This window comes from Homo sapiens, chromosome 1 (assembly GCF_000001405.40).
Source record: "Homo sapiens chromosome 1, GRCh38.p14 Primary Assembly".
In the NCBI taxonomy this organism is placed as follows: domain Eukaryota; kingdom Metazoa; phylum Chordata; class Mammalia; order Primates; family Hominidae; genus Homo; species Homo sapiens.
The window spans coordinates 87,411,479-87,436,742 of NC_000001.11; the positions used below are offsets into that span (position 1 = coordinate 87,411,479).

At 40.1% G+C, this 25,264-nt stretch overlaps 1 long non-coding RNA gene across 1 annotated transcript in view; it reads left to right on the top strand.

The window, feature by feature from the left end:
• The window catches only part of LOC105378833 (uncharacterized), a 39,237-nt gene extending 20,284 nt beyond the window's left edge, over positions 1–18,953 (top strand). Inside the window, exon 4 of the long non-coding RNA XR_001738133.2 lies at positions 18,766–18,953. This is a non-coding gene — a long non-coding RNA (uncharacterized LOC105378833). The remainder of the gene's footprint in view (positions 1–18,765) is intronic.
• Positions 18,954–25,264: the final 6,311 nt, after the last annotated feature.

The following is a 25,264-nucleotide window of genomic DNA, read 5'->3' on the forward strand; positions in this document are numbered from 1 at the left end:
CCTGAGCAAGGCCTGGTCAATGTTAGGAAGCAATCTTAATTTCTCTCCCTTTATATTGTCTGCTGTTTGGTTTAGGCTCTTTCAAAATTTTTTTTTTTTTTTTTTTTTTGAGACGGAGTCTTGCTCTGTCGCCCAGGCTGGAGTGCAGTGGAGCTATCTCGACTCACTGCAAGCTCCGCCTCCCGAGTTCACGCCATTCTCCTGCCTCACCCTCTTGAGTAGCTGGGACTACAGACACCCGCTACCATGCCCGGCTAATTTTTTTTTATTTTAGTAGAGACAGGGTTTCACCGTGTTAGCCAGGATGGCCCTTGGCCTCCCAAAGTGCTGGGATTACAGGTGTGAGCCATCGCGCCCGGCCCCATTTAGCCCCTTTTCAAGGACAGATCTCATGGAAAAAAGCACCTGGCAGGTCACAGATACTCAATGAGCAGAGTTTTTTTTCTTTCTAGTTCTACTTTTTAGTAGAACTTTTCTAGTAGTTTCTTTACTACTTACAGAACAGTATAAATGAGGATAATTTTATCCTCAGCAGAAGTGGCACTTTGGTTTGAGAAAGAATGAGGGAGGGGGGTGGAAAACAGCTGAAAAATACCAGCCATTATCTGTTTGGCCTCTTGGTTGGTCCTAGAGATTTTCACAGTAAATTCTACCCACCATCAGCTGGTGTGAGGGGAAAACACTGGGCCAGGAGTCAGGATCCTTGGTCTTCTTCCCACCTAGGCCTCTATGGTAGGGTAGATTTCCTGAGAAACAGACTCTGTTACGGAGGTTTTCTTGCAGGAGGTTTACTGGGAAGTGCTCTCAGTAACACCTATGAGGTGTTAAGAGAAGCAGGCTTGGAGAGAGGGAGAAGATGAGCTGTGATGTTGCTATAACAAAGCCTCAGCAGATCCCAAAGGGAGCTCTGGAGCTGGGTGGCCTTTATAATGTCTGGAATGGAGGCAGGGGTCCGGGACTTTGAACGTTGCATTGATCAGTCACTCCATGTAGGCTGCTCCTGGGGAGGCACCATAATCCTAGCTGAGACCGGTTCCTTCCTCTGAGGCACTTCCTGCAGAGGGTCTCAGCTGTGAACCATCGGCTGGCAGCACTTCTCACAGCTGGGAAAATGAGTGCCTTGGTCCTGAAGGGAGGAGGGGTCTGGGCAGTGCATCATAGCATCCACTATTGCTCCCAGATGGGTGAGGCACCTCACTCCTTTGGTCCTCACTATCCTAAAATCGAACAGTCCTTTCAACCAGTACCTGTGGATACCTACTGTGAGCGTATTGTTTCCTTAGCATGGAATGTCTTCCCTTCATACAGAACTACCCAAGAAGTTAATATATCACAATTCTGATAAAATGCCAGGTCCTCTAAGGAGTCACCTTTAACTATAAGGCACAATTAAGACTCTGTCTTCCTTATGTCTGTGTCATCAAAGCATTTCATACAAATTCCTCCTAGGATTTATCTCACTGTATTAAAATTACTGTTCACAGAAGACTCTATTTTATTTATACTTATATCTTTTTCTCTTTTCCTCCAACACAAAACTTTGGTGACCAAGTCATTATTTAAAGTCAGTTTTGTCTGATATGAGCATAGTTGATACCGTCTTTCTTTTGGTATTTGCATAATTTATTTTTTTCATCCTTTCACTTTAAATTTTTCTATATTTTTATATTTTAGACATGTCTCCTACAAATGACATTTAATTCAACTTAAATGTATTATTATCTATTCTGACAATCTTTGTATTTAAACTGTAGCACTTATCCCATTTATTCTCAGTTGAATTAGTGATGTGTTTAGGTTTAAAAAACAACCTTTTTTTTTTTTTTTTAGACAGAGTCTCGCTCTGTCACCCAGGTGGAAGTGCAGTGGCGCACTACAACCTCTGCCTCTTGGGTTCAAGTGATTTTCATGCCTCAGCCTCCTGAGTAGCTGGGATTACAGGCACCTGCCACCATGCCTGGCTAATTTTTTTTTGTATTTTTAGTAGAGATGGGGTTTCACCATGTTGGCCAGGTTGGTCTTGAACACCTGACCTCAAGTGATCTGCCTGCCTTGGCCTTCCACCATGCCCAGCCGCAGCTAATTTTTTGTATTTTTAGTAGAGACATGGTTTCCCTGTGTTGGCCAGGATGGTCTTGAACTCCTGGCCTCAAGTGATCTGCTTACTTGGGCCTGCCAGAGTGCTGGGATTACAGGCGTGAGCCACCGCACCTGGCCAAAAAACAACCGTCTTATTTTGTGCTTTTAGTTTGGTCCACCAGATCTGTGTTTCTTTTTCTCACCTTTCTTGCCTTTCTTTTGAACTGATTATTTTTTCTTACCATCTATTTTTTCCTTTTCTGTTGGTATGAAAATAATGTACTCTTTTTCTATTCTTTGAGCAGTGGCTCTCTGGCTCTAGAAATCACAACATTCCTTTCCTTAGCAAAGTTTTTTTTTTTTTTTTTAATTTAAAGACAGGGTCTCACTTTGTGGCCCAGGCTGGAGTGCAGTGATGCAATCACAGCTCACTACATCCTCAACTTCCCCGGCTTAAGCAATCTTCCCACCTCACCCTCACCAGTAGCTGGGATAACAGGCACACACCACCACACCTGGCTAGTTTTGTTTGTTTATTTTTTGTAGCAACGAGGTCTTGCTATGTTCCCCAGGCTGGTCTCAGACTTCTAGGCTCAAGCAATCCTCCCACCCTGGCCTCCCAAAGTGCTGGGTTTACAGGTGTGAGCTACCATGCCTTGCTTAAAGTCTAATGTTAATCAGTACTTTCACTGTCCTTCTGGAATGAGTATAAGGACCTCAGAATAACTTTTTTTTTTTTTTTTAAGATGGAGATTCACTCTTGTCCCCCAGGCTGGAGTGCAATGGTGCAATCTCGGCTCATGGCAACCTCCACCTACTAGATTCAAGTGATTCTCCTGCCTCAGCTTCCCAAGTAGCTGGGATTACAGGCGTGCACCACCACACCCAGCTAATTTTCATATTTTTAGTAGAGATGGGGTGAGGCAGGTGGATTACCTGAAGCTAGGAGTTCAGGACCTTAGAATAATTTAACAAAACTTCCCTTTCTCCCTAGTTTCTAGCTGGCAACATGTAGTTGCTATAAATTTTAATTCTGTATATTTTAACACGCTGTAAGACATGTATATTACAGCTTTTAAGGCCAATATTTATGTTTACTCATGTATTTACCATTTTTAAAGTTCTTAATCCTTTCTGTGTCTCTGATCCTTTAGCCTAAGTCAGTAGGTTGTGAACTCTCTCAATTCTTGTTTGTCTGAAAATGTCTGTATTTTGCTTTCATGCTTGAAGGATATTTTGCTGGCTATAAAGTTCTTTAATAGTTTTTATTTTCTATAAGAACATGGAGAATATATTCCCATTTTTCCTTTGGTTTTCATTTTTGTGCTTTAGAAATTTAAATCTAAGGCCGGGTGTGGTGGCTCACACCTGTAATCCCAGCACTTTGAGAGGCGAAGGTGGATGGATCACGAAGTCAGGAGATCGAGACCGTTCTGGCTAACACGGTGAAACCCCGTCTCTACTAAAAATACAAAAAATTAGCCGGGCGTGGTGGCAGGCGCCTGTAGTCCCAGCTCCTCGGGAGGCTGAGGCAGGAGAATGGCGTGAACCTGGGAGTCGGAGCTTGCAGTGAGCCGAGATTGCGCCACTGCACTCCAGCCTGGGAGACAGAATGAGACTCTGTCTCAAAAAAATAAAAATAAAAATAAAGAAATTTAAATTTAAATCTTTTTTTTCTAGCTGCTTTAAAGATTTTTTCACTTTTTCTTTTGTTTTCTGCAATATCTCAGGATGAATGTTGGTGTAGATTTCTTTCTTCTTTATCCTGCATGGGATTCTTAAGTTCTGTGAGTCAGTCCTCCAAAATTGTCGGCCATTTTAGTCATAAAAATTTAAATATTGCCTTTGCTCCATTTCTCTCTCTTTTAAAACTGCAATTAAATATATGTTAGACTTTTTCAGGTTGTCCTCCCTCTCTCTTATCCTCTCTGCTATATTTTCTATGTTTTTGTCTCTTTGTGCTATAATAAGGAAAGTTTATTCTGACTTATTTTTCTGTTCAATAATTCTTTCTTCAGCTATGTCTAATATGCCCTTAAACTCACTCAATTAATTCATAATTTGTTAGTATATTTCCCCTTTTCAAAATTATGTCACTTTTCCCCCTCAGTTTCTTTCTGAAATTTTGAAGATTTTCTTTTCTTTCTTTTCCCTTTTTTTTTTTTTTTTTTTTTTTAGGCTTGGTAGGCATAGTTCTTTTATAGTTGATATCTAATAATCCCAATATATGAAGTCTTTGTTGGTCTGTTTCTACTATCTTCTTGTTTTAACTGGTTCTTGCTCATGGTATCTTGTTTCCTATGCGTTTTGTTTTCTTTGTGTGCTATACAATGTATTTTAGGAATACTTTGAGACATGAGATGATAGTGCCTCTTACAAGAGAGTAATTTAATTTGTTTCTGTCAGGATTCTAGAGATGCTACTAATGCAGGACTATCTTAATCCAAGTTCAAGGCTTCAGGTTCCCTAAAAGAGCCAAATGATGAGAAGCTAGGCTGCAAGTCTTTTGAAAGACTGGTTTAATTCTGGTTTACCCTTACCCTTAAGTGATAACCTTGCTAGGCTCTACCTTACAGTGGCAGGTGGTTTATCTGAGTCTTAAACTTCGGTGGACCCTGAGCTTTAGGCCTTGTTTCCTCTGCCCTGAAAGACCCCCACCCGCCCTAAGCAAATGCAGTTTCGCAGTTATTTCTTCGACACAAGCAAATGTCATTAGGGCCAAACAGATTTTAATATAGGGGTTACATTTTTTCTAGATTTTGACTGGGCAATTTCTTATTTGATTAACTTTTTGGTGCTTTTGGAAGGTGTGAGTTTTTTAAAAATATGTTTCCCCAATTTCATTTTACTTTTTCTCAGCAGAGGGGTTACTCTGAGATAACTAGTCTACCACTATAGGAAATAATATATATCTATTATTATATTTCAGTCTTTGGCACAGCTCTGGTCATTCAATATTTGTTAAAGAATGACGATATGAATGGCCATGGGCATTGGAATCAAGTTGTAGAAGCTATGGTTTCTTTCTTCAAGGAACTTATCATTTAATAAGTGAAGAAAAAATCACAAATAAAACTTAAATAATGACTATACTTTCTTAGTAGAAGTGTAAATTAATATACCTTTCTGGAGAAAAATTTGGCAATGCTTATCAAAATTAAATATACCCTTTGGCTAAATTCCACATCTAAGAATTTATCTGATGTATACTCCACACAGAGTTGGACAGGTGCTTAAAGATGTATATATGAGTAGTTTTTATTGATAACAGCATGTTTGTAATACAAAAGACAAAATGATCTAAATATCTATTGAGATGGGACTGATGAAATAAATTATGATATATTATAATATAATGAAATAATGTGCAGCCATTAAAAAGAATGAGAGAAGATTAACATATATTGATAAGGAATAATTTGAAAGATATATTTAAGTGAAAACAAAGAAATAAACAAGAAGCTTGATAGGACAGTTGACCCTTGAACAACTGGTCGTTAGGGGCACCTACCCCCTCAACACAGTTGAAAATTTCATACGACTTTTGATCCCCCAGAACTTAAAAATTAATAGCCTACTATGGATTGGAAGCCTTACTGATAACATACACAGTCAATTAACACATACATATTTTGTGTGTTATATGTATTATATACTGTATTCTTAAAGTAAGTTAAAATGTTATTAAGAAACCATAAGGAAGAGAAAATACATTTACTATTCATTAAGTGGAAGTGGATCATCATAAAGGTCTTCATCCTCATCATCTTTACATTGAATAGGCTGAGGAGGAGGAGGAAGAGGAGGGGTTAGTCTCGTTGTCTTGGGGGTGGCAGAGGTGGAAAAGAATCCATGTATAGGTGGACCCATACAGTTCAAACCCATGTTGTTCAAGGGTCAACTGTGTATATAATATGCTGCACACATGCATGCACACATATATACACTTCCTTAGAAGTTCATAGAGTATCTCTGAAAGACTATCAGAGGAACTGCTGACAGTAGTTATAGGCTGGGCACAGTGGCTCACAGGTGTAATCCCAGCACTTCGGGAGGCCGAAGTGGGTAGATCAGTTGAGCCCAGGAGTTCAAGACCAGCCTGGGCAACATGGTGAAATCCTGTCTCTACAAAAATGTACAAAAAATTAGCTGGGCATGGTGGTGCACACCTGTAGTCCCAACTACGCAGGAGGCAAACGTGGGAAGATCGCTTGAGTCCAGGAGGTTGAGGCTGCAGTGAGCCACGATTACACCACTGCACTCCAGCCTAGGCAACAGAGTGAGACCTTGTCTCAAAAACCAAAACCAAACCAAAACAAAAAAACACAGTGGTCATACCTGAGGAGCACAGTGGTCATATCTGAGGAGAGGAACTGGGACTTGGAGTACGAGAATAGGAAGTAAACTCTTTTCTGGGAGCTTTTGTGTTCTATATTATAGTTTATATTTATTTTTCCCATGTGCATTTTAAAACCATTACCTTAAAATACAAAAAGTGTGAGGACAGTAGTGTATTAGAAGGCATACTATACTGGTGGTCAGTTGACCTGAGCTGTAGTTTGTTTTTGTTACGAAGTCCCATGATCTTTCCAGAACTCAGTGTCCTCTTCTGAGAAATGTGGACACTGACCTAGCCGGTCTCCAAGGCCTCTTTCAATTTTAACATTCCCCCATTCCACTGACTAACACAGAGATACTTTTATTGCAGAAGTGCTTCGGTCAGGCAGTGTCTTTGAAGATAATTTGGCAAATGAAAGCCCTGGTATTGGATGAAAGTGCTAGCTGCTGGGAATGCTACCCCTCCTTTTGGTTCTCCTTCAAGTATTACACTGTGCTTTCCCTGAGACAATAAACTGAAATAACTGATTTGTTTAGCTTCACAGTTTGAAACTGTGGTTTTTAATATAACCTCACATTTGAAATATTTTAGGCCTGTTTTTCTTTAGGATCGGGTAGGTTTAAATCTCTGACAGATTGACCGAATCTCATTACCCCCTATTTACTATACAACGAAAGCTTATTTCCTAAGTGTTTCCACATTTTACGCTCACATAGATCTAAGTGGCCAAAATATTTAATTAAATGGACTATTCATACAATCTTATTTCCTGGCTGGTCATCTATGTCAATGATAACAGTAGCATTTATCCCATGGCTATGAATCTGAATCTTAAAAAAAAAAGAGAGAGAGAAAAATTATTTAAATCTAAACTATGCTCAGACTAGTGATTTGAAAGCTTTTTTAATTATGAAAGTAATTTAAGTTCATTTTTAAAGGTTCAAACAATACAGAAGTGTATAAAGTAGAATTGAAAGTCTCTTCGCTGCTTTAATCTCACTCCTCAGAGGTGATCACTGTTAAGTATGGCATACATCTTTTCAGGTACAAATACACACACACACACACACACACACACACACACACACACACAAACTTCGCTTTTATAATAATGGGATTCTACTGAACATGCTGTTTTACAGTTTGTTTTTGTACTCAGCAATATGTTGTTCTTGGGGTACACATAGCTCTACCTCACTCTTTAAAGGGCTATAAACTATTCAATCACACTGCTGTGCCATCATTTATTTGCATATTTTCTCAGTGTTGGACATCTAGAGTTAGTTTCCATTTGTATGTTGTGAGAAGCCGTGTTGTATTGAACTTAGACATTTGGCTAGAAGTTTTATAGAATGTTTTCCTTGAATTAGGGTTCTAGGTTACATGGCACTTCCTATATATATGCCAGGCACCAGTGTAAACACTTTACAAATATCAACTTTTAAAATTCCCATGACAACCCCATGAGTTATAGATACTATTATTATCTCAGTTTTGCAGATGATAAACTTAGGGTCAGAGAGGTTAAGCAACTTGTTTGAGATCTCATGGTTCTAACTGGTAGAGCCAGGATTGGAATCCAGGATCTCCGAATCCAGAGTCTGTTCTTAGCTCATATGCATTCTGCTGCCTCATAGGATAGGTATATTTGGAATCTTGATAGATACTGCCAAGTTGTCCCTGAAAAAGGTTCTATCAATTTATATTTCCACAAACTGCATTTGAGTGTTCACCCATTTTCCTGTTTCATTACCAAACCCTATGTCCTCACTTTTAAATTTTTTTGCCAATTTGTGGTTGGAAAAATAGTATCAAATTATTGTTTTAACTGACAATTAATGCGCTATTAACATTTGTAATACTTAACTTTTATTAGACCTGTACTACAATAAAATACATAAAAGAATTCTTCATCATTTCCAGATTATCATCCCAGAGCCCTGAAGCCCACACACAGCTTCTTCAGGAAATGCTGACAACATGGTATACACATGGCTTCCATGTTTGTCGTGGTTCCAAAGTTTGCTTTTGAGTTTAATTTCTTTCTTTCTTTCTTTCTTTCCTTTATTGGCTAAACTCCCCCCCAGGACCTGAGTGAGCAGAAGGCTTTTCAGAACAGCCTGAACTATTTCTTGAGCAGTTTGGGAACTCATTTCTAAAGCAGTCCTCGGATTCACACAACATAGTTTGTGTGAGAGGGTATGCCCAGAGCAGGCAGGAAAGGCAAAACAGCATTTTGACACTGAGGGATTTAGCAGAAAGATCTGATGCAACAAGTAAAAACTCTTTTAAAGGTTCAGTCAAGTTTGTTCCCATCACTTTCCTCTGGAATGCCCAACAGGCACATGTTTTGTCAATGAAAATTATTTTCAATCTCATTGATGTTTTGTTTGGCAAGATTTCTTTGAACAATTTCTTATTAATCATCTATAATTTTTCACTTCTGACATTGTTATCACCAGTGCTTTCAGTAACTGCATATTTATACAACAGCCAAACTCCAACCTGTATTCAGTTTTTATCTGTTTCTTGGGAATGTAATTTGGAAAAAAAGTTACCAATATATTTACAACAAAATTTCAGATCTTCAACATTACAGAAGGTAAGAAATGTGAACCCAATGGAATTCTTCTATCATCCTTATTTTGTGAGATCTAATTACTGTATACTCACCTTCCCAGTCATGTCACATTAGCTTTCTCCCTGTCTTTGTGGCTTGTAGATTTCTGTCTCCAGGGGCATGGTTTGCATTGTGGTGATCCAGATATGGATAAGGCAACACCCTGTGTCTTAATAGGGTCCTGCCTCCCAAACAAATAATTCACTGTGGCTCTAAGATTGTGTCTTTCTGCATATGCCAACTTAAGCTGTTTTAGCCAAACCACCTTCTGCATAGGCCTAATAAAAATACCTTCAGGGCTAGATGAAGGTGTTTGGCATGCTTTTTCTTCCATGGTGGGGGCAACATTGGGCAGTGCTGCCTCCCTGGCTGTGAGCAGCTTGTGGGTCCTCAGGGACCGTTTCACTGGACTTCAGCTTAAACATTGTTTATACATGGCCATCGATTTCCTTTACCAAGAGCTGCCATTCCAATGGAATTAGCCATATCTGCCATGCACTCGCACCCCTCCTCAACCAGGTGGTAAGCACAGGAGATGAACTGGTGTTAGGAGAAAAAGCCATACTGATGGTCTAGTGCAGTGGGATCACCAGGGAACTTGTTAGAAATGCAATTCCCTGGCTCCACCCTACATCTCTGGGTGATTTGGGTGTAGGCCACAACATTTGAGAACTGCTGCGCTAGCTTAATACATGAGAATCTTCCACTTTATTGTTTTATTTCCATATTTGTATATCCCTCTCTTCCCCTTTGACATTTTCTGTCATGGTTTTGCTTTCTAAATGTCTTTGAGCTGTCTTGTTGATGGGGGCGCACCCTGACTAATGGCGTGTTGGCAAAGGTTTAACAACAGGCTCCAGAGGAGGGCGGACTTGAAGTGGAGCCTTCAGGGGGCAGTGTGAGGGGTGCTGATTTCAAACAACTCATCTGGTATTACTGAACATGAAGTTGGGAAGAGATGTGCATAATTGAAGTGGGTGAGAGCCAGTCCAGCACCCTGTGGAGAGGTACCAATAATTCTGTAGGTATTTGCTCAAATTTAACTCAATGGGGGTTTAGATTGGGTTTACATTGAGTCATTAGTTGCAGGTCATTTGTTGAATCATTGAGTACTTTTGGTTGTTAAGGTGACTGAAATACTCGGTTGATGTCCTTTAAGATCACTGAAAATATTTAAAATCAGCTTACATATGGCATTTTGGAAATGCCACAAACGTAATAGATTAAAACCCACAACTATATTTGCTGCCTTTCCTATGCATGCCCTGTCAAAATTATTTTTGGTGGACTGTAAGCCCTAAAACAACATGGACCTTGTTTTGCTCTCCATTCTATTCTCATTACTTATATTCAGCATTGTTTAAAAAAAAGTTTATTGATGTAATAAATGTGTAGTTGAGGTAATAATGTAATAAATGTGTACTGCCATAACAAACTACTACAGACTAGGTGGCTTAAGCAACATTTATTTCCTCATAACTTTGGAGGCTAGAAGTCCAAGATCAAGGTGTCTGCAGGTTTGGTTTCCTCTGGGGACTTTCCCCTTGGCTTGTGGATGGCCATCTTCCACCTGGGTCTTCACAGTCTTCCCTTTGTACATGTTTGTGTCCAAATTTCCTCTTCTTTAAGGACATCAGTTGTATTAGTCTGTTCTCATGCTGCTAATAAGGACATACCAGAGACTGGGTAATTTATAAAGGAAAGAGGTTTAATGGACTCACAGTTCCACATGGCTGGGGAGGCCTCACATCACGGCAGAGGGCAAGGAGGAGCAAAGTTATGTCTTACATGGATGGCGGCAGGCAAGAGAAGAAAATAAGAGCCAAGCGGTTTCCCCTTATACAACTATCAGATCTTGTGAGACTTATTCACTACCACAAGAACTGTATGAAGGCCAGGCATGGTGGTTCACGCCTGTAATCCCAACAGTTTGGGAGATAGAGACATGTGGATCACTTGAGGTCAGGAGTTCAAGACCAGCCTGGCCAACATAGTGGAACCCCATCTCTAAGAAAATACAAAAATTACCTGGGTGTTGTGGCATGTGTGTGTAATCCCAGTTACTCGAGAGGCTGAGGCAGGAGAATTGCTTGAACCCGGGAGGCAAAGGTTGCAGCCAGCTAAGATCACACCACTGCACTCCAGCCTGGGTGGCAGAGCAAGACTCCATCTCAAAAAAAATAAATAAATAAGAACGGTATGAGGTAAACCGCCCCCATGATTCAATTATCTCTCACCAGGTCCCTCCCACAACATGTGGGAATTATGGGAGCTACAATTCAAGATGAGATTTGGGTGGAGATACAGCCAAACTGTATGACCAGTCATATCGGATTAGGGCCCACCCGAATAACCTCATCTTAATATATTACTTCTTTAAAGACTTTATCTCCTCATACAGTTATATTCTCAGGCACTGGAGGGTTAGGACTTCAACATATGAATCTGGGGGAGAGGGGAGACATAATTCAGCCCATTATAGTAATGATCAAAACTTCTATATTTTGAGGATCTAATAGCATAAGGAAAAAACAAAACATCAATTGTGTATTAGAAGTATATTACACATGTACATTTATGTTTACCTTGATATGATAACTAGCATTGATACAACCTTATCTAAGAAGTGACAAACTAATATTTTATAGATTGCAAAAGTGTCTCTCCCACCTCTCTCCTCATCTCATAGTGCCTTATTTTTGATGCATGAGGTTTTTATCCTGCCAAATGAGTTAGAAGAGTGGAAGAGATGGAAATGTAGTTTGCATATAGGTATTATGCAATTAGATATTGAAATGTGTGTACACATACTATATATATAACATATATGTATGTTGTGCTGTAAGAATAAAGTGTGGGAACTTTATCCTAGCACATACTTTCACTTTAAGGAAAATATCACTGGGGAGGTTCAATTGCAAAAGTCTGATCTTCTCACATTTCTGAGATTTTTTTTGATCTGATGACTATAAGAACAACAGAGAAGTTCAAAGTGTGGAAAGCTTATAGAGCCTTTGGGGTGTCATTTTCTTGGGAAGGAGTAGGCTCCAAAGAATCTAGAACTTTCTGGGTTGAGACATAACCCCACTGTAGTCTTCACTCTGACCATCTATGAAGAGGGCATCACGACACCTGACTTCAGGCCAGCTTCTTGTTTTTTCCTTATTAATACTCTGTCATCTTAAATCCTGTGGTGACATGAGTGAATCATTACACAACACTTTGATTTTACACTATAGGTTTTTTTTTTTAGGGTAGGCGTAATTTTTTTGTTTCTTTTTGGGATTACTATCAGACTTTAAAAAATTATTTATTTTATTGCTTTTTAAGTTGGTGTTCCCTTTTGATCAGTCAGCTTTCCTTTAGAGATCCCCAGAATAATTTCAACATACCTTGAGGGCATATGTTCTTATAATATAATAGCATGACTAGGTGGTTATTGGCCACCAGCCTAGCACAGTAAGGCATGCTGTTATTACACAATTACACACATCCTGGTGTGTGTCTTATTACGTAATTGTAATTCAAAGATGCTGCTGAAAGCAATTACATAAGTCCTATTCATTTCACAGGGAATCGAAAGGGCAGAAGTAAAGCAGAGCCAAGCTCCTAGGCATTGAGGGCAGCCATTCTTTATTTATTTTTGAGACAGAGTCTCACTCTGTCACCCAGGCTGAAGTACAATGGTGCAATCTCAGGTCACTGCAACCTCTGCCCCTGGGGCTCAGGCAATCCTCCCACCTCAGCCTCCCAAGTAGCTGGGACCACAGGCGTGCACCACCACACCCAGCTATTTTTTTGTATTTTTGGTAAACACGGGGTTTTACCATGGGTGGCCCAGTCTGGTCTTGAACTCCTGAGTTCAAGGAATCTGCCTGCCTCGGCCTTCCAAAGTCCTGGGATTACAGGTGTGACCCACTGCGCCCGGCTGGGCAGCCGTTCTTTAGATGGCATGTTGCATCTCTTGATAGAAGATTAGGTGACCATTCTCAGGGGATTGAATTGTCACATTTTGACCTTCTTATCCAACATTTCTTTTTTTCCCAGACAGCAAGCAGCAGTAGCAGCACCTGTAATTTGTCGTTTTATATTTACTTTTAAGGTTTTCAATAAAGTAAAATGGAGTGATACAGTGATGATATTCTCTGCCTCTCTAGGAGGACTTTGAATTCTTATTCTATGTGTCCAGGGGTGTGACACATCTAGAGTAAATAAAATAAAGCTTACCTACTCCAAGTATAATAGAAACCTAAAGGACAGGGCAAGGAGAGTTGCTTCTATTACTCAGTGCAGCTCTCAGAGTCAGATAGCAAGGACCACTGGTTATACACATTGGGATTCCCTAGTGTCAGACTATCCCTTAAGGTTCTCTTCTGTTGAAGGTTTTTGCATAGGTGTGCACTTCTCTAGAGGGGCTGGAAACTCTGCCAGGTAGGAATTTTTCAACCTGCTCTGTGGAAGTTGTCCAGTTGAGGATGCATTTGTGTGGCTTCTCCTAAAACATATCAAGGAGCCATACAACAGGAGCCAATACTCATTTTTTTTTTTTTTTTTTTAATGAATGACTTGAGAAAGCAAGCTGCTGCTTCTTTCCTCTTTTTCCAATTTCTCCTCAAATCCCAAGGGAGCTTTGAATATCACTGAGTTACTTGGCAGGTTAGCATCAGGTGAAAATTACAAGAATTTGGTTTGGAAACAGCAGGCTGTCTTCCTATGTGATAAGGAGTCCCTAGATACCCACAATTGTGCCTCTGTGCAGGGGATATCCCAAGTCACCGAAAAGAGAAAGCAAAGCATGGAACCAGCTATTGAGTCTGTAATTTTATTGTGAAAACTTGGTACCAGTGTGATGGTAGATCATAAGTTTCTTGAGGACAAGGAGTGTGTCATTAATTTTGTGTCACCAAGGCCAAACCCACGATTTGATATATGGGAGATCTTTAAAATATGGTCCCTGCAATGGTTAATTTTATGTGCGACTTGGCTAGGCCCTGTATGGGGCCCTTTGACCAGATATTTGGTCAAAGATGTCTGAGTATTGCTGTGAAGGTATTTTTTAGAAGAGATTAACATTTAAATCATAGACTGAGTAAAGCAGCTTAGCCTCTGTGATGGTTAATATTATGTGCCATAATGTGAATGGACCTCATCCAATCAGTTGAAGGTCATAAGGAAAAGGCTGACCTCCACTGAGGAAGAGGAAATTCTGCCAGCAGACTGCCTTTGGACTCAAACAGCAACATCATCTCTTCCCTGAGTCTCCAGCCTGCCCACCTACCCTGCAGATTTTGGACTTACCAGCCTCCATGATTGCATGAGCCAATTCCTTATGAATGAATGAATGAATGTCTTCAACATCTTTGCTTTACTCTGATGCTCTCCCCTACCCTCACAATTCCAATGAAGTGAGGAAAACTATTTTGCCAAGTCAAAACTTTGGATCCTTGCCCTAAAATCCCAGAGTCTTCCCTTTAAACAGAGTGAAAGCCCTGATACTGACAAGGATAAGACAGGGGAAAGATAATTTGGGGGGCGGGGGTGAGGGAGGAGAAGAATTCACCAACTCCCCTCAAAATCTTTGATTTTATATTTACTGTTAATATCCATTGTAAAAACCATTGGCTTGATTTAAATATCTTGTTGGTTTCCCAAGCCCCATCACCACCACCACCACCAGCTCACCCTGCCAAGGCCTGAGAGGCTGAAGACCACTTTTCAGCCTGATGTGATTTCTAACAGCTGAGATATTAAAACACTGAAAAACGGGGTTTATAATGGAAATGCTGACAGACTATTAACTATAGCAGCACTGCTCTAATAAATGGAATGGCCTGTCATAATCTCTAGTTCATAAATATGCAAATACAAGACTGGGGATTTGCTCCAAAGGATGTCTCTATAATTTTAACTGACCTTTACTGATACCAAATGAGCCTGTTGCTTCTGTTTTTGTACATTGGATATAAAGTACAGGAAATCCAGCCGCCTGTCGGCCTAAAGTATATAAAGTTTAAACTGCCAGCTACTAAACTCCGGGCTCAGATTCCATTTCTCTTCACATTCACACTCTTTATTGACATTTTCATTTTTTTTTCCCAGGGGGTGGAAGCTGAGTTGGGGGGAAATCAAACATTGTTCATCCCCCTTCCCCCCCACATTACTTCCACATGTCACAGCGCCTGCCCAGCCAAAATTCATGGATTGCCTCAAGGACAAACAGGCCATCTACACTGAATTATAAATTTGAGTTTTATCCAGTTTTCTGCTTTTGGACCAAATGGGCAGCAAATCCAGTGACTTCATATTTAATAACCTAGATGTCATTTGTCCTGTGTCTTTCAGCACAGAGTAAAGAATTGGATGGCTAGCAGTTTTGCAGATTTTTTCCCCCTAATTATTTTAAGCTATTCAGCCTGGTATTCGAACTATTGATGCAGAGCCAAATTGCCAGCAGGGGAGAGATCTGTCCAATCCAGGAGCTAAATGAGTCACTGAGAGTCAATCTGTTTTTCCCTTGCTGCTGGGGTTTCCTCCGGCCCTGGCCTCTCTCTCTCTGCTCCAGTCACTCACAGAGCTGCAGGCTCAGCCCTCGTTGGCGCCCATCGCCTCCCATTCCCCTCCTCAGCCCTGCTTGCTGCAGCTGTTGATGGGGTCTGACCGGCTGGCTGCGGAGATTCAGGGCCTCAATCACACTGTAGTTGAGGCCGTGCTTTGACAGAAAATGAAGACATCTTTGCCTTGTTGCATTTGCTTCTCCAGTAATACATCAGGTATCTGGAGAGGAAGGCCCACAAGCAGAGTGTGTTGGGGTACGATGCCAGTTCATCACTTTCCGCTGTCCAGTTTTCAGAGTGCTCTTCTACTTTTCCTAAGTCCAAATGGAGTCCTTGGAGCCAGAATCCTGCATGTGGTCATAAAATAATAAAAATAAAGGTCTGTGGATATGCTGGAGGTAGCGGCAGGGCGGAATGCCACAAACATAAGCCAGGCCTGCTGGAGCAGTCGCTCTTCAAGCATTGGAGAAGAATTCACAGCGCTTCTAATAACATATATATATTTTTTCCAGTAAAAACATTTTATTTCTAACAACATTTACTTAAAAACAAAATTCTTGTATTCTTCATGTAGGGTCAGTATTCAATTACACAAAAATAGGCAGCCAACTTAAGAACTGTATATAAGATTAAGACAACTGGTATTTCATGGTAAATGATTAAATTAGCTAACACAGTTATATCCTGAACTTTGCCATTAGGACTGACATTTTTGTTCGATGTGCATTGAGGATTGTGGGTAATCTAAACTGGTATGAGCTTTTTCTCTTTGAAACTCAAACAGAATTAAGGAACAGTATTCTCTGCAAATGGAATACGGAGTTTGAGAACAGCCACAAAAAAATTCTCTTGTAGTAAGCTGAACTGCCCTAGGAGTACTCAGGAATTAGAGAATTAGAGAACTGGAGAAATGAGGGGCATGGATAGGAGGGAGAGAAAAATTGATTAATTGATTTACTATAATTTTCAAATGGAAGTATGTGGGAAAATAAGACAAAACAAGCAGAGTTGTTTTTCACAGTGAAGCCTCAGAGGGGTGAAAGCTTTGTTCCTCTGGGTAGCAAGTTGTATTTCCACATTTCCGACTGCATATTCCATATTTATGTTGATTTTTGGTCTCTCTGTTCGTAGCTTGCTAGGTGGCAAGGGCAGTTAGAGGAAAAAAAGGCAGATTTATGAAACACAGAAAAATTTCTCACTGAAATCAGGCTTGGATTTGTGAATCACTTGTTTTTTTCCCTGTGGTCACTCCTGTGATGAGGTCAACTGCTTCAATCCTTTAGGTTTTGTAGAGGGGTTTCCGGATTCCAGGAGTCCCAGAAGGTCCGGGGAGCACTCCCCACATTTTAGCCAGAAGTAATTAACTAAAACATAAAGGCTCCACTTTCTCTTTTCACATTTTGAGCCACAGATTATCTAATTCCAAGCTTAAGACATCAGATTTCAGATCATTAGTGCAAAGCATCTTCCACAGGAGGCAATAAAATGTCACTTTATATAACTCAGCTACAGTTACACTGCTTTCAGAAAGCAGGAATCTCTCTGAAAAGAAATTTACATGAAAACAGTCGCATTGTTTGAGAATTTATGCAAATGTTGCACAAAGGAGTTTGACAGTGATTTTAAAAACTGAAATCTTTATCACTGCCTCAAAGATATCCTGAAAAACTTAGTTACCTCTAAAGAATTCCATTGCACTTATTTTTTAAATGTCTATAATATAGAGTTGTTTTAAAAATTTTCCCTAAACTCCAAACTTCTTCCTCAGCTTCAAAGCCTTCTATAATGAATATCCTACAGAGAACCTAGTGCATATTGGTTTAACACTTACTAGGATCACTCATTACTAGTTAAGAAAATTGAAGATAACAACCATAGCGCCAAGTATTTTGAACAACATAAAATGTTTCTCCCGTGGGTGTAGCTCTTAGGGACCGCATGGGGATACGTACCCCTCAGTGCTCAATCAGCACAAGATGAAGCTCTAAGTGTCTCAATCCATGTTGATTGCCTCTGAACTCCCCGGTGTTAGGAATCTGGATGTGTCCATTACTGCATTTTCAAACAATGAACTGCCTGCGCCAGGAATCTGATTTCTGTAGAAAGACATTAAGGGGCTGGGTGAGGAATAGGGTGTCAACAAAACGTGGTATTTTCCTTTGATTTTCACTTTCTTTAAATTCTTCTGCATTTACTACCTAGCGACTGTCTGGCATTGGTACCCTCAGTTTCTTTTCTTCTGCTTTTCCTCCTTATTCAATGTGGAAGATGATCAAAGTATGACGTTTCTTCTACCCCAGAGGTTGGCATTTCTGCAGGCACAAATGAGCTTGGTTTTCAAGCACCAGTCTTTGAGCACAAGGAATTCCTTTAATGATCACGGGCTAGATAGACTTTGGAATCAGACTCTTTGAATTCCAGCTCTGCCATTTACCAACTTTGACACTTTGGGCAAGCCATTTTAACCTCTTTAAGCCTCAGTTTCCTTTTCTGTAAACAGGAATAATGATAACTAACAATAATAATAATAATACTTTCTTATCAGTTAAAAATAAACTGAGCTGAAACTGCTATTTGTACGCTCTCAACATATATGTGTGTGCGAGTATATATTTGTTTTATATAGGTACTGATATACTATATGCAGTATGATGTAAATAATAAAATGCAAAAAATGTAAATTAAATAGTAAGGTTACAAAATAAACAAAAACAAATAATTTAATATTTTCATTGTATCCTGCACAAATACTGGGAGCATTATTACTTCCACTTTTGAGAACCATAATGCATGTAGTGTGTTTAGCAGACTGCATAGTACCAAGTAGTACTCAGGATGTGTTAGGTTATTACTTATGTTCATGCCTAAGGAAAAGTTTAATTGGCGAAACTTCAGTCATTCTTGCGATAAAGAACATTCCGTTTCATTTTGGCTTCTTTTTTGACATGACTTTGCTCTTATATAAGTAGCAGAGAATGGCTGAGTTGTAAGTCAAACTCTTCCAACATGGAAGAAACTCATTGCACAGTTCTGGTCAGCATTTTTTTTTTCTGCTCAGGTATGCTGTACATTCACAATTATTTTCCACAAGGTTTCCTATTCGAAGGAGGATTGGTGACTTCCCTTCCTTCAGACAAGCAATGATGATAACATCGTTGTGTTCCCTTGTGTAGGTCTGGGGTGACGTTGGCTCCTTGAGAAATGAAAACTTCATCATAAGAATCTGTGAAAATGGGGAAAATGGGTAAATGAGGACAGATTCAAAATTGGAAGAAAACAGAAAAATCTCTGTTCTTTTTTTCTAATTGTTCTTTTAATGAAATCAGTACTGCCCTTTGGCATTAACGATCATATGCAAAAGGTAAGACACATTGATTTTGGATTTTATTGTTGTAGCATAGAATATAAGTCTAGATATTTGTGTAAATATTCTTGGTAGAGATACTTCTAATTTCACACTCATTTATTTGTTCTTCCTAAGCATTGGTATATATGCTTAGCACTTACGTCTATGTCAGACACTGTGCTACTTTGAGTGTGAATTTATCTTCTGAACAAAGAGAAGCAAACCAAGGGAAATCAGGAAGCAAATCTAGCAAATCAGAAGAAAATCTTGCAAATCAGGAACCCTGGATTTGCTAGAAAATTTAATGTGAACCAAGTGGTGATTAACCTCACATTTAAAAATTAGTATCAACCTTTCTTCTTGGAAGATCATTTCTTTTTTCTTTTCTTTTCTTTTCTTCTTTTTTTTTTGAGACAGGGTCTTGCCCTAATGCCCAAGCGGGAGTGCAGTGGTGCCACCAGAGTGAGAGGTGGCAGCTGGACTTCCTGGGTCCAGTGGGGACTTGGAGAACTTTTCTGTCTAGCTAAAGGATCCTAAACACACCAGTCAGCAGTCTGTGTCTAGCTAAAGGATTGTAAACACACCAATCAGCACTCTGTAAAATGGACCAATCAGCACTCTGTAAAATGGATCAATCAGTGCTCTGTAAAATGGACCAATCAGCAGGAAGTGGGCGGGGCCAAATAAGGGAATAAAAGCTGGCCACCAGAGCCAGCAGTGGCAACCTGCGAGGGTCCCCTTCCATGGTGTGAGAGTTTTGTTCTTTTGCTCTTCACAATAAATCTTGCTGCTGCTCACTCTTTGGGTCCACACTACCTTTATGAGCTGTAGCACTCACTGCAAGGGTCTGCGGCTTCATTCCTGAAGTCTGTGAGACCATGAACTCACCAGAAGGAAGAAACTTTGGACACATCTGAACATCTGAAGGAACAAACTCTGGACACACCATCTTTAAGAACTGTAACACTGCAAGGGTCCATGGCTTCATTCTTGAAGTCAGTAAGACCAAGAACCCACGGGAAGGAACCAATTCCAGACACAAAAGCTCACTGCAGCCTCAGCCTCCTGGGCTCAAGTGATCTTTCCACCTCAGCCTCCTGAGTAGCTGGGACTACAGGCACATGGCACTATGCCCTCCTAATTTTTAAATTTTATTATCTTCTGTAAAGATGAGATCTCTCTATGTTGCCCAAGCTGGTCTTGAGCTCTTGGGCTCAAATGATCCTCTCGTCTTGGCCTCCCAAAGTGTTGGGATTACAGGCATAAGCCACCGTACCTAGCCTTGGAAATTCTTTTATCACCTGAAATGTAAATGCTTGGCAAAAATCTTAAAATAATTTTTAAAATCAAGGAATCAAAGGCAGAATAGAAATTTGCATTAATCTTGACAAAAGTACTCAGTAAGTACTCAGTATTTTAATTCTGCTTTGGTTATTCTGGATCCACTGGGTGTCCAGGCTTAGAGATTTCCTTTATGTTCAGCCTTTTCTCTTGGCTTCACTCTTCTTGAAGCATCAAATCTTAGTGTAGTCAATGGTGATGTGCATGTGTTTGCATACTTTTTTTGTTCTTATTTCTGCACACAGAAAAGACCACATTTCCTGGTACTTAGCGGACTTGTGACTTTCACTAGTTAATGGGCTATAAACTGAAGTGGGGTGATGTTCATTCTGGGCCTAGGCATAGAAGAATGCTATGAGATCCTCTTTGTTTTGTACAGTAGGGACATGACCAGATGGTGTAGTCACCTTCAACCTGGGTCCCTGAGGAACTACCTGGAGTTGCTCCTGGTGCTTGAGTAGCCCTAAGAGTAGAATATTTCACTAACTTGTGATGAGCATGTAGTGAAACAAAATAGAAGCCTCTGTTTTGATGATCCACTGGGGTTTTAGGGTTAATTTATTACCTCAGCATAATCCAGTCTATCCTGAGAGTTGCAGGGTTTTTAGTTTTTATGTTTTTGTTTTTCCTAGAAAAAGCAGAGATGTCTAGATCTTTCTCTAAAAATATTCTACTCTGAGAAATTGTGAGCAAAGTACGAAGATTTAAAGCCATCAGGGGACTGCAGTGAGAGCAACTTATGAAAAGATCAAGGAAAAGAACTCAAATATTTGGAATAAACATACATGTCCTGCTGGTCAGGTGTGCACATTGGAGAGTCAACACTGCGTGGTGATTCTTTAAGGGATTCATCTAGGGAATTTGAATTGTGACAATACTTTAACTTCATGAAAAATGAGGAAGGGTGCCCATTCAGGCTTTTAAAAGTGAGAAATAAAGGGTAACTTTTTAGCATGAGGTTTTCAGAACTTGAAAATAAAGAATTTGTACCACAAATATCTCTGGAAATGATGATCACTTAGGTCTCTGAGAAAAAGATCCAGAAGAGTGAACCACAGTTGGAAGCAAACAGAACTTATCAACACAGGAAAGTCCAAAGGGAAAATAACATTTTGGGTAAGAGCTCTCCAGTGTGTATCAAAGAGCTCCTAGTGTAACATTTTTCGTCATCGAGCTAATCTGGCATTATACAGGATGAAATCATTTTCCTAAATTGCTAACTCAGAGTTGTCATGGAATAAAGCCCCTATGAGTAGAGTGGATATAATCAATATTCTAAGTTTGAAAGATAGTGACATTTCTGATTCCCCTAACGGCCTGGAAGTGGTGGTTGCATGGCAGGCTCTAAGGCTGACTTGTTGATCTGTGAGGCTCTTTACAATGTACTTTTAAGGCTGCTTTCTCCCTAATCTTAAACACTTGACCTTTGAGTCTGATATTCTTCAGTATTATTAGATTAGATGATTAGTTATTAAATATACTGTCTCCAGTAAATAGGTAATTGTGTAATGCAATGGCGCTCAGCCTTTCCAGGCCATGTTCCCATGACATTTAGAGTTAGAACACTGAGTCCTTCTGTAGTAGGAATCTTTAACCCTTTCTGTGGGTCGAAGAATGTACAGGGGTTTCCCTAGGTCTCAAAATCAGCTGACTGATGAAGGACAGTAAAAAATGTAGAGTGTCACATGTTTTTGAGAGCCATAGAATTCAAAGATCACAGAACTTTTATCACATTTATGCCCACATAATAAGACTGAGTAATACACCAAGATTTTCCCTGTGACAAGCTGGGTGTGATGAACACAATCTAGGTCCTTCCTAGGATTTATGTTGGGTGTTTGAGAAAAGCTTAAGCACTGTTTTGCAACCAAAAGCATGCAGGTGTTAAAGTTTTAAATGTCTCTATTGCTTCTTGCCAGATTTTGCCTTGCATGAAGGGGTGGGGACGGAGAGGGGAGGAAGAATAGAGGGAGGGACAGGATCTAGCATGTTTTGATTCCTTAATGTGTGCAAAGCACAGTGCTAGGCATTTTACATATACAGATTCATTTAATCGTCCCCTAAATAGAAATAAAGTTTGTGTTATTAGTCCTCATTTTGCATTTAAGGAACCTGAGGCTCAGAAAAGATAAAGTTGCCTAAATCCAAACAGCCAGGGTAGTTGAATTAGAATTTGAACTTGAGTTCGAAGTGCTTATTCTTTTCAATGTCTGACAATGTCTTTATTTTATTAAGTGCCTACTACGTATACATAAGGTGTTACTCATGTTGGCAGAAAAGGTAAGATGGTCAGGAAAATCTAGGAATGAATTATCCATGTGCTGTTTTTTAATTCAGTGTTTTTGGTAGCACATTGTAAGGAACACAAAAGAAGTATTGAGACACAATGATCTCTCCTTAAATTAGAAGCCATAACCTATTTGAGAAGGCAAAGCATCATGTATCAAACAATTCCTAAATTGGGTGCTATGAATGATAAGTCTAAAAGTTCCCAGAGGTAGAGGTAAGCATGGTATGGAGATGACTACTGAAAGCTTAGAGACTATGATCTTGTAAAATAGCCAGGATTTGGATAGAAAGGGCACACAGCATGGGAAGCCATGAACTGAGGCATGATGGTTTTGCAGAAAGACCAGCCTGGCTGGGGAGGAGGAGCTGACTGCTCTGATTGCCTTCCCCTGTCCTGGTCTGGACTGGTCCTCTCTGCTCCTCTCTCATTGCCTTTACCACACCCAGGTAATTAACCACAGGTGATGCATGCATATCCATCTCCCCCTGTGAACTCCTTGGGAATCCGGGCTGCCACCTATTCACCTTTTTATTCTCAGTGCTTAAAGCAGTCCATGGCGCCCATTAGGTGCTCCATAAATAATTGTGAAGTAGATGGATGGAAAGATGGGTATAGATGAAAGGATGAATAGTGGATGATACACTTAGAAAAAAAAAGGGAGCCAAATTGACACAGAGGCAGGAAAAATGTTAAGCCAGATATGACAGTAAAAAGTTCTTGATTGAGTGTGTAAACAAATACAAATAGTATTTATGAGTGGGTTAGAATGATGAAAGACTAGGAGAACTGAGGTGATAAGAGCATGCATCAGTGAAAGCGAGAATGAGGAAGAATGAGGAATTGAAGTCAGAGAGTAGGGAGCAACCATGGGCTTTGGTTAGAGCTCTGATGGAAGGGAAAAGAGAGAATGGGCGTCCTCTAGGAAGAAATGTGGGGTGCAGGGAAAAGGATATAGTTTTAGGAAATAATGAGCACACTTCTAGACACGTTGAAAAATCATAAAATAAGCTTAAATGATGATACTGAGCGTTAAGTTCTAAGAGGGGCACTCTTGGAAAGTTTAATTCATTAGCAATTAAGTATTTTGGAAAATAAATGGAAAGAGGCTGGAAGTAGAGATGTGGATGGCTGGAGAGAGTTAAGATTCTACCTGTTGCAGTCAGAGTCCAGATGTGTCTGGGGGTGAATGATTGCCTCACCAACTCCTGGAGATTATGGATTCTCCCTGGAAGCCACAGGAAGTTTGAGGTATGAAATGATCCACGTGACTTAATTCACCATGAGATTTCCTAAGGCCTTGATGTGGGATTTCAATCTCCCGTTAATCAAACTAAATTGATTTTTGAAGCCTCTTGACTGATGATGAGTGAAGCCCAGACAAAGGCATCCCAATGGGCTACCAGTGCCTCAGATTTCTACACTGCTTGACTTGACCACGTGTGCGTGCATGCACACACACACATACACACACGCAATTAAGGTTAGGGTTGGGACAAAGAGAAAGGCACACACAACACTTAGGGACATTTCTAGCCATTCTGAATTTCTAGCCATTCGAGATGGTCTTACGTCAGCAAAGGATCCTTGCACTCAACATTCAGCCAAAACAAGGCTAGCGTTCTTATCATAGCACACCACACCCGCATAGAGACAAGAAACATTAACCACAGGACGCTCAACTCTCCTAAAGCCACCAGCCAAGCCCAAATCATGACTCAGAACTCCAGATCTCAGTCATTTCTTCTGCTCATGAAGGCATTCCTTTTTTGAACTGAAAACAAACTCATAAATAAACATCTCCTTCCTCAGTTCTCCCAAACAACTTGATGGACAGAGAACTCTGTATTTTATAGGAAATGCTTGTAGATTTTTATGGTAAGTTTCCAAAAATAAAAGCACAAACATTTCTACTCACATATATTTGTTATGATAGCTACTGGTCCAAGTAGGAATACATATCATCCCGAAGGTAGAGAATGCACCAGGATCGGATCTTGCCCATTTTCATAAACACCATGGAGCATAGTTAGCTCAGAATCCTACAGAGTCCACTTGGCTTATTTATAGAACTCAGACCCACACTGGTGCATCAGGATAGTTTAAGGTTTGGGGAACAAGTTCCCTTACTGACAAATAGCATAATTAGGCATAATGTCTTAAGCGAACATATTAGCTCGGGCTTTTAACAGTGTGCAAGCCTCAGCTTCCGCAATAACAACCTAATCTTGTGTGGGAGCCATCCCAGGCTTCACTTGAACACAGGCACTGTTGTCCACCCGCAGATAAAACTTGGAATGGTTTTATTTATATCGTCCTTGTTAGTCATGCAATCTGTGTGCAAACAAAACAACATTATTCTTATCTCCTTGGAAAGTTTAATTCATTAGCAATTAAAAACTGGTGCAGAAGAAGGGCCAGGCACCCGGAAAAGACTCTTCCTAGCACAGCACACCCCGAAAGAGCGGTTTGTGGGAGCAACTTTCACTGATAACAGCACCGTGACATTTGCTGAATTGTTGCACAGCTTTGTTTTTAATAAATAGTTTAGCCATGTAAGGATTATGCCACTGTAATTAGATAGGATAATGTAGCCAACAATCTCTTCAAAAGTACCGTGTTGAAACTTGCTGTCCTCAGGCCCTCGCCAGAGCCCATTCCTGCTGTCTGCTCCCTGCCCCCTCCCTTGTCTGGCTTG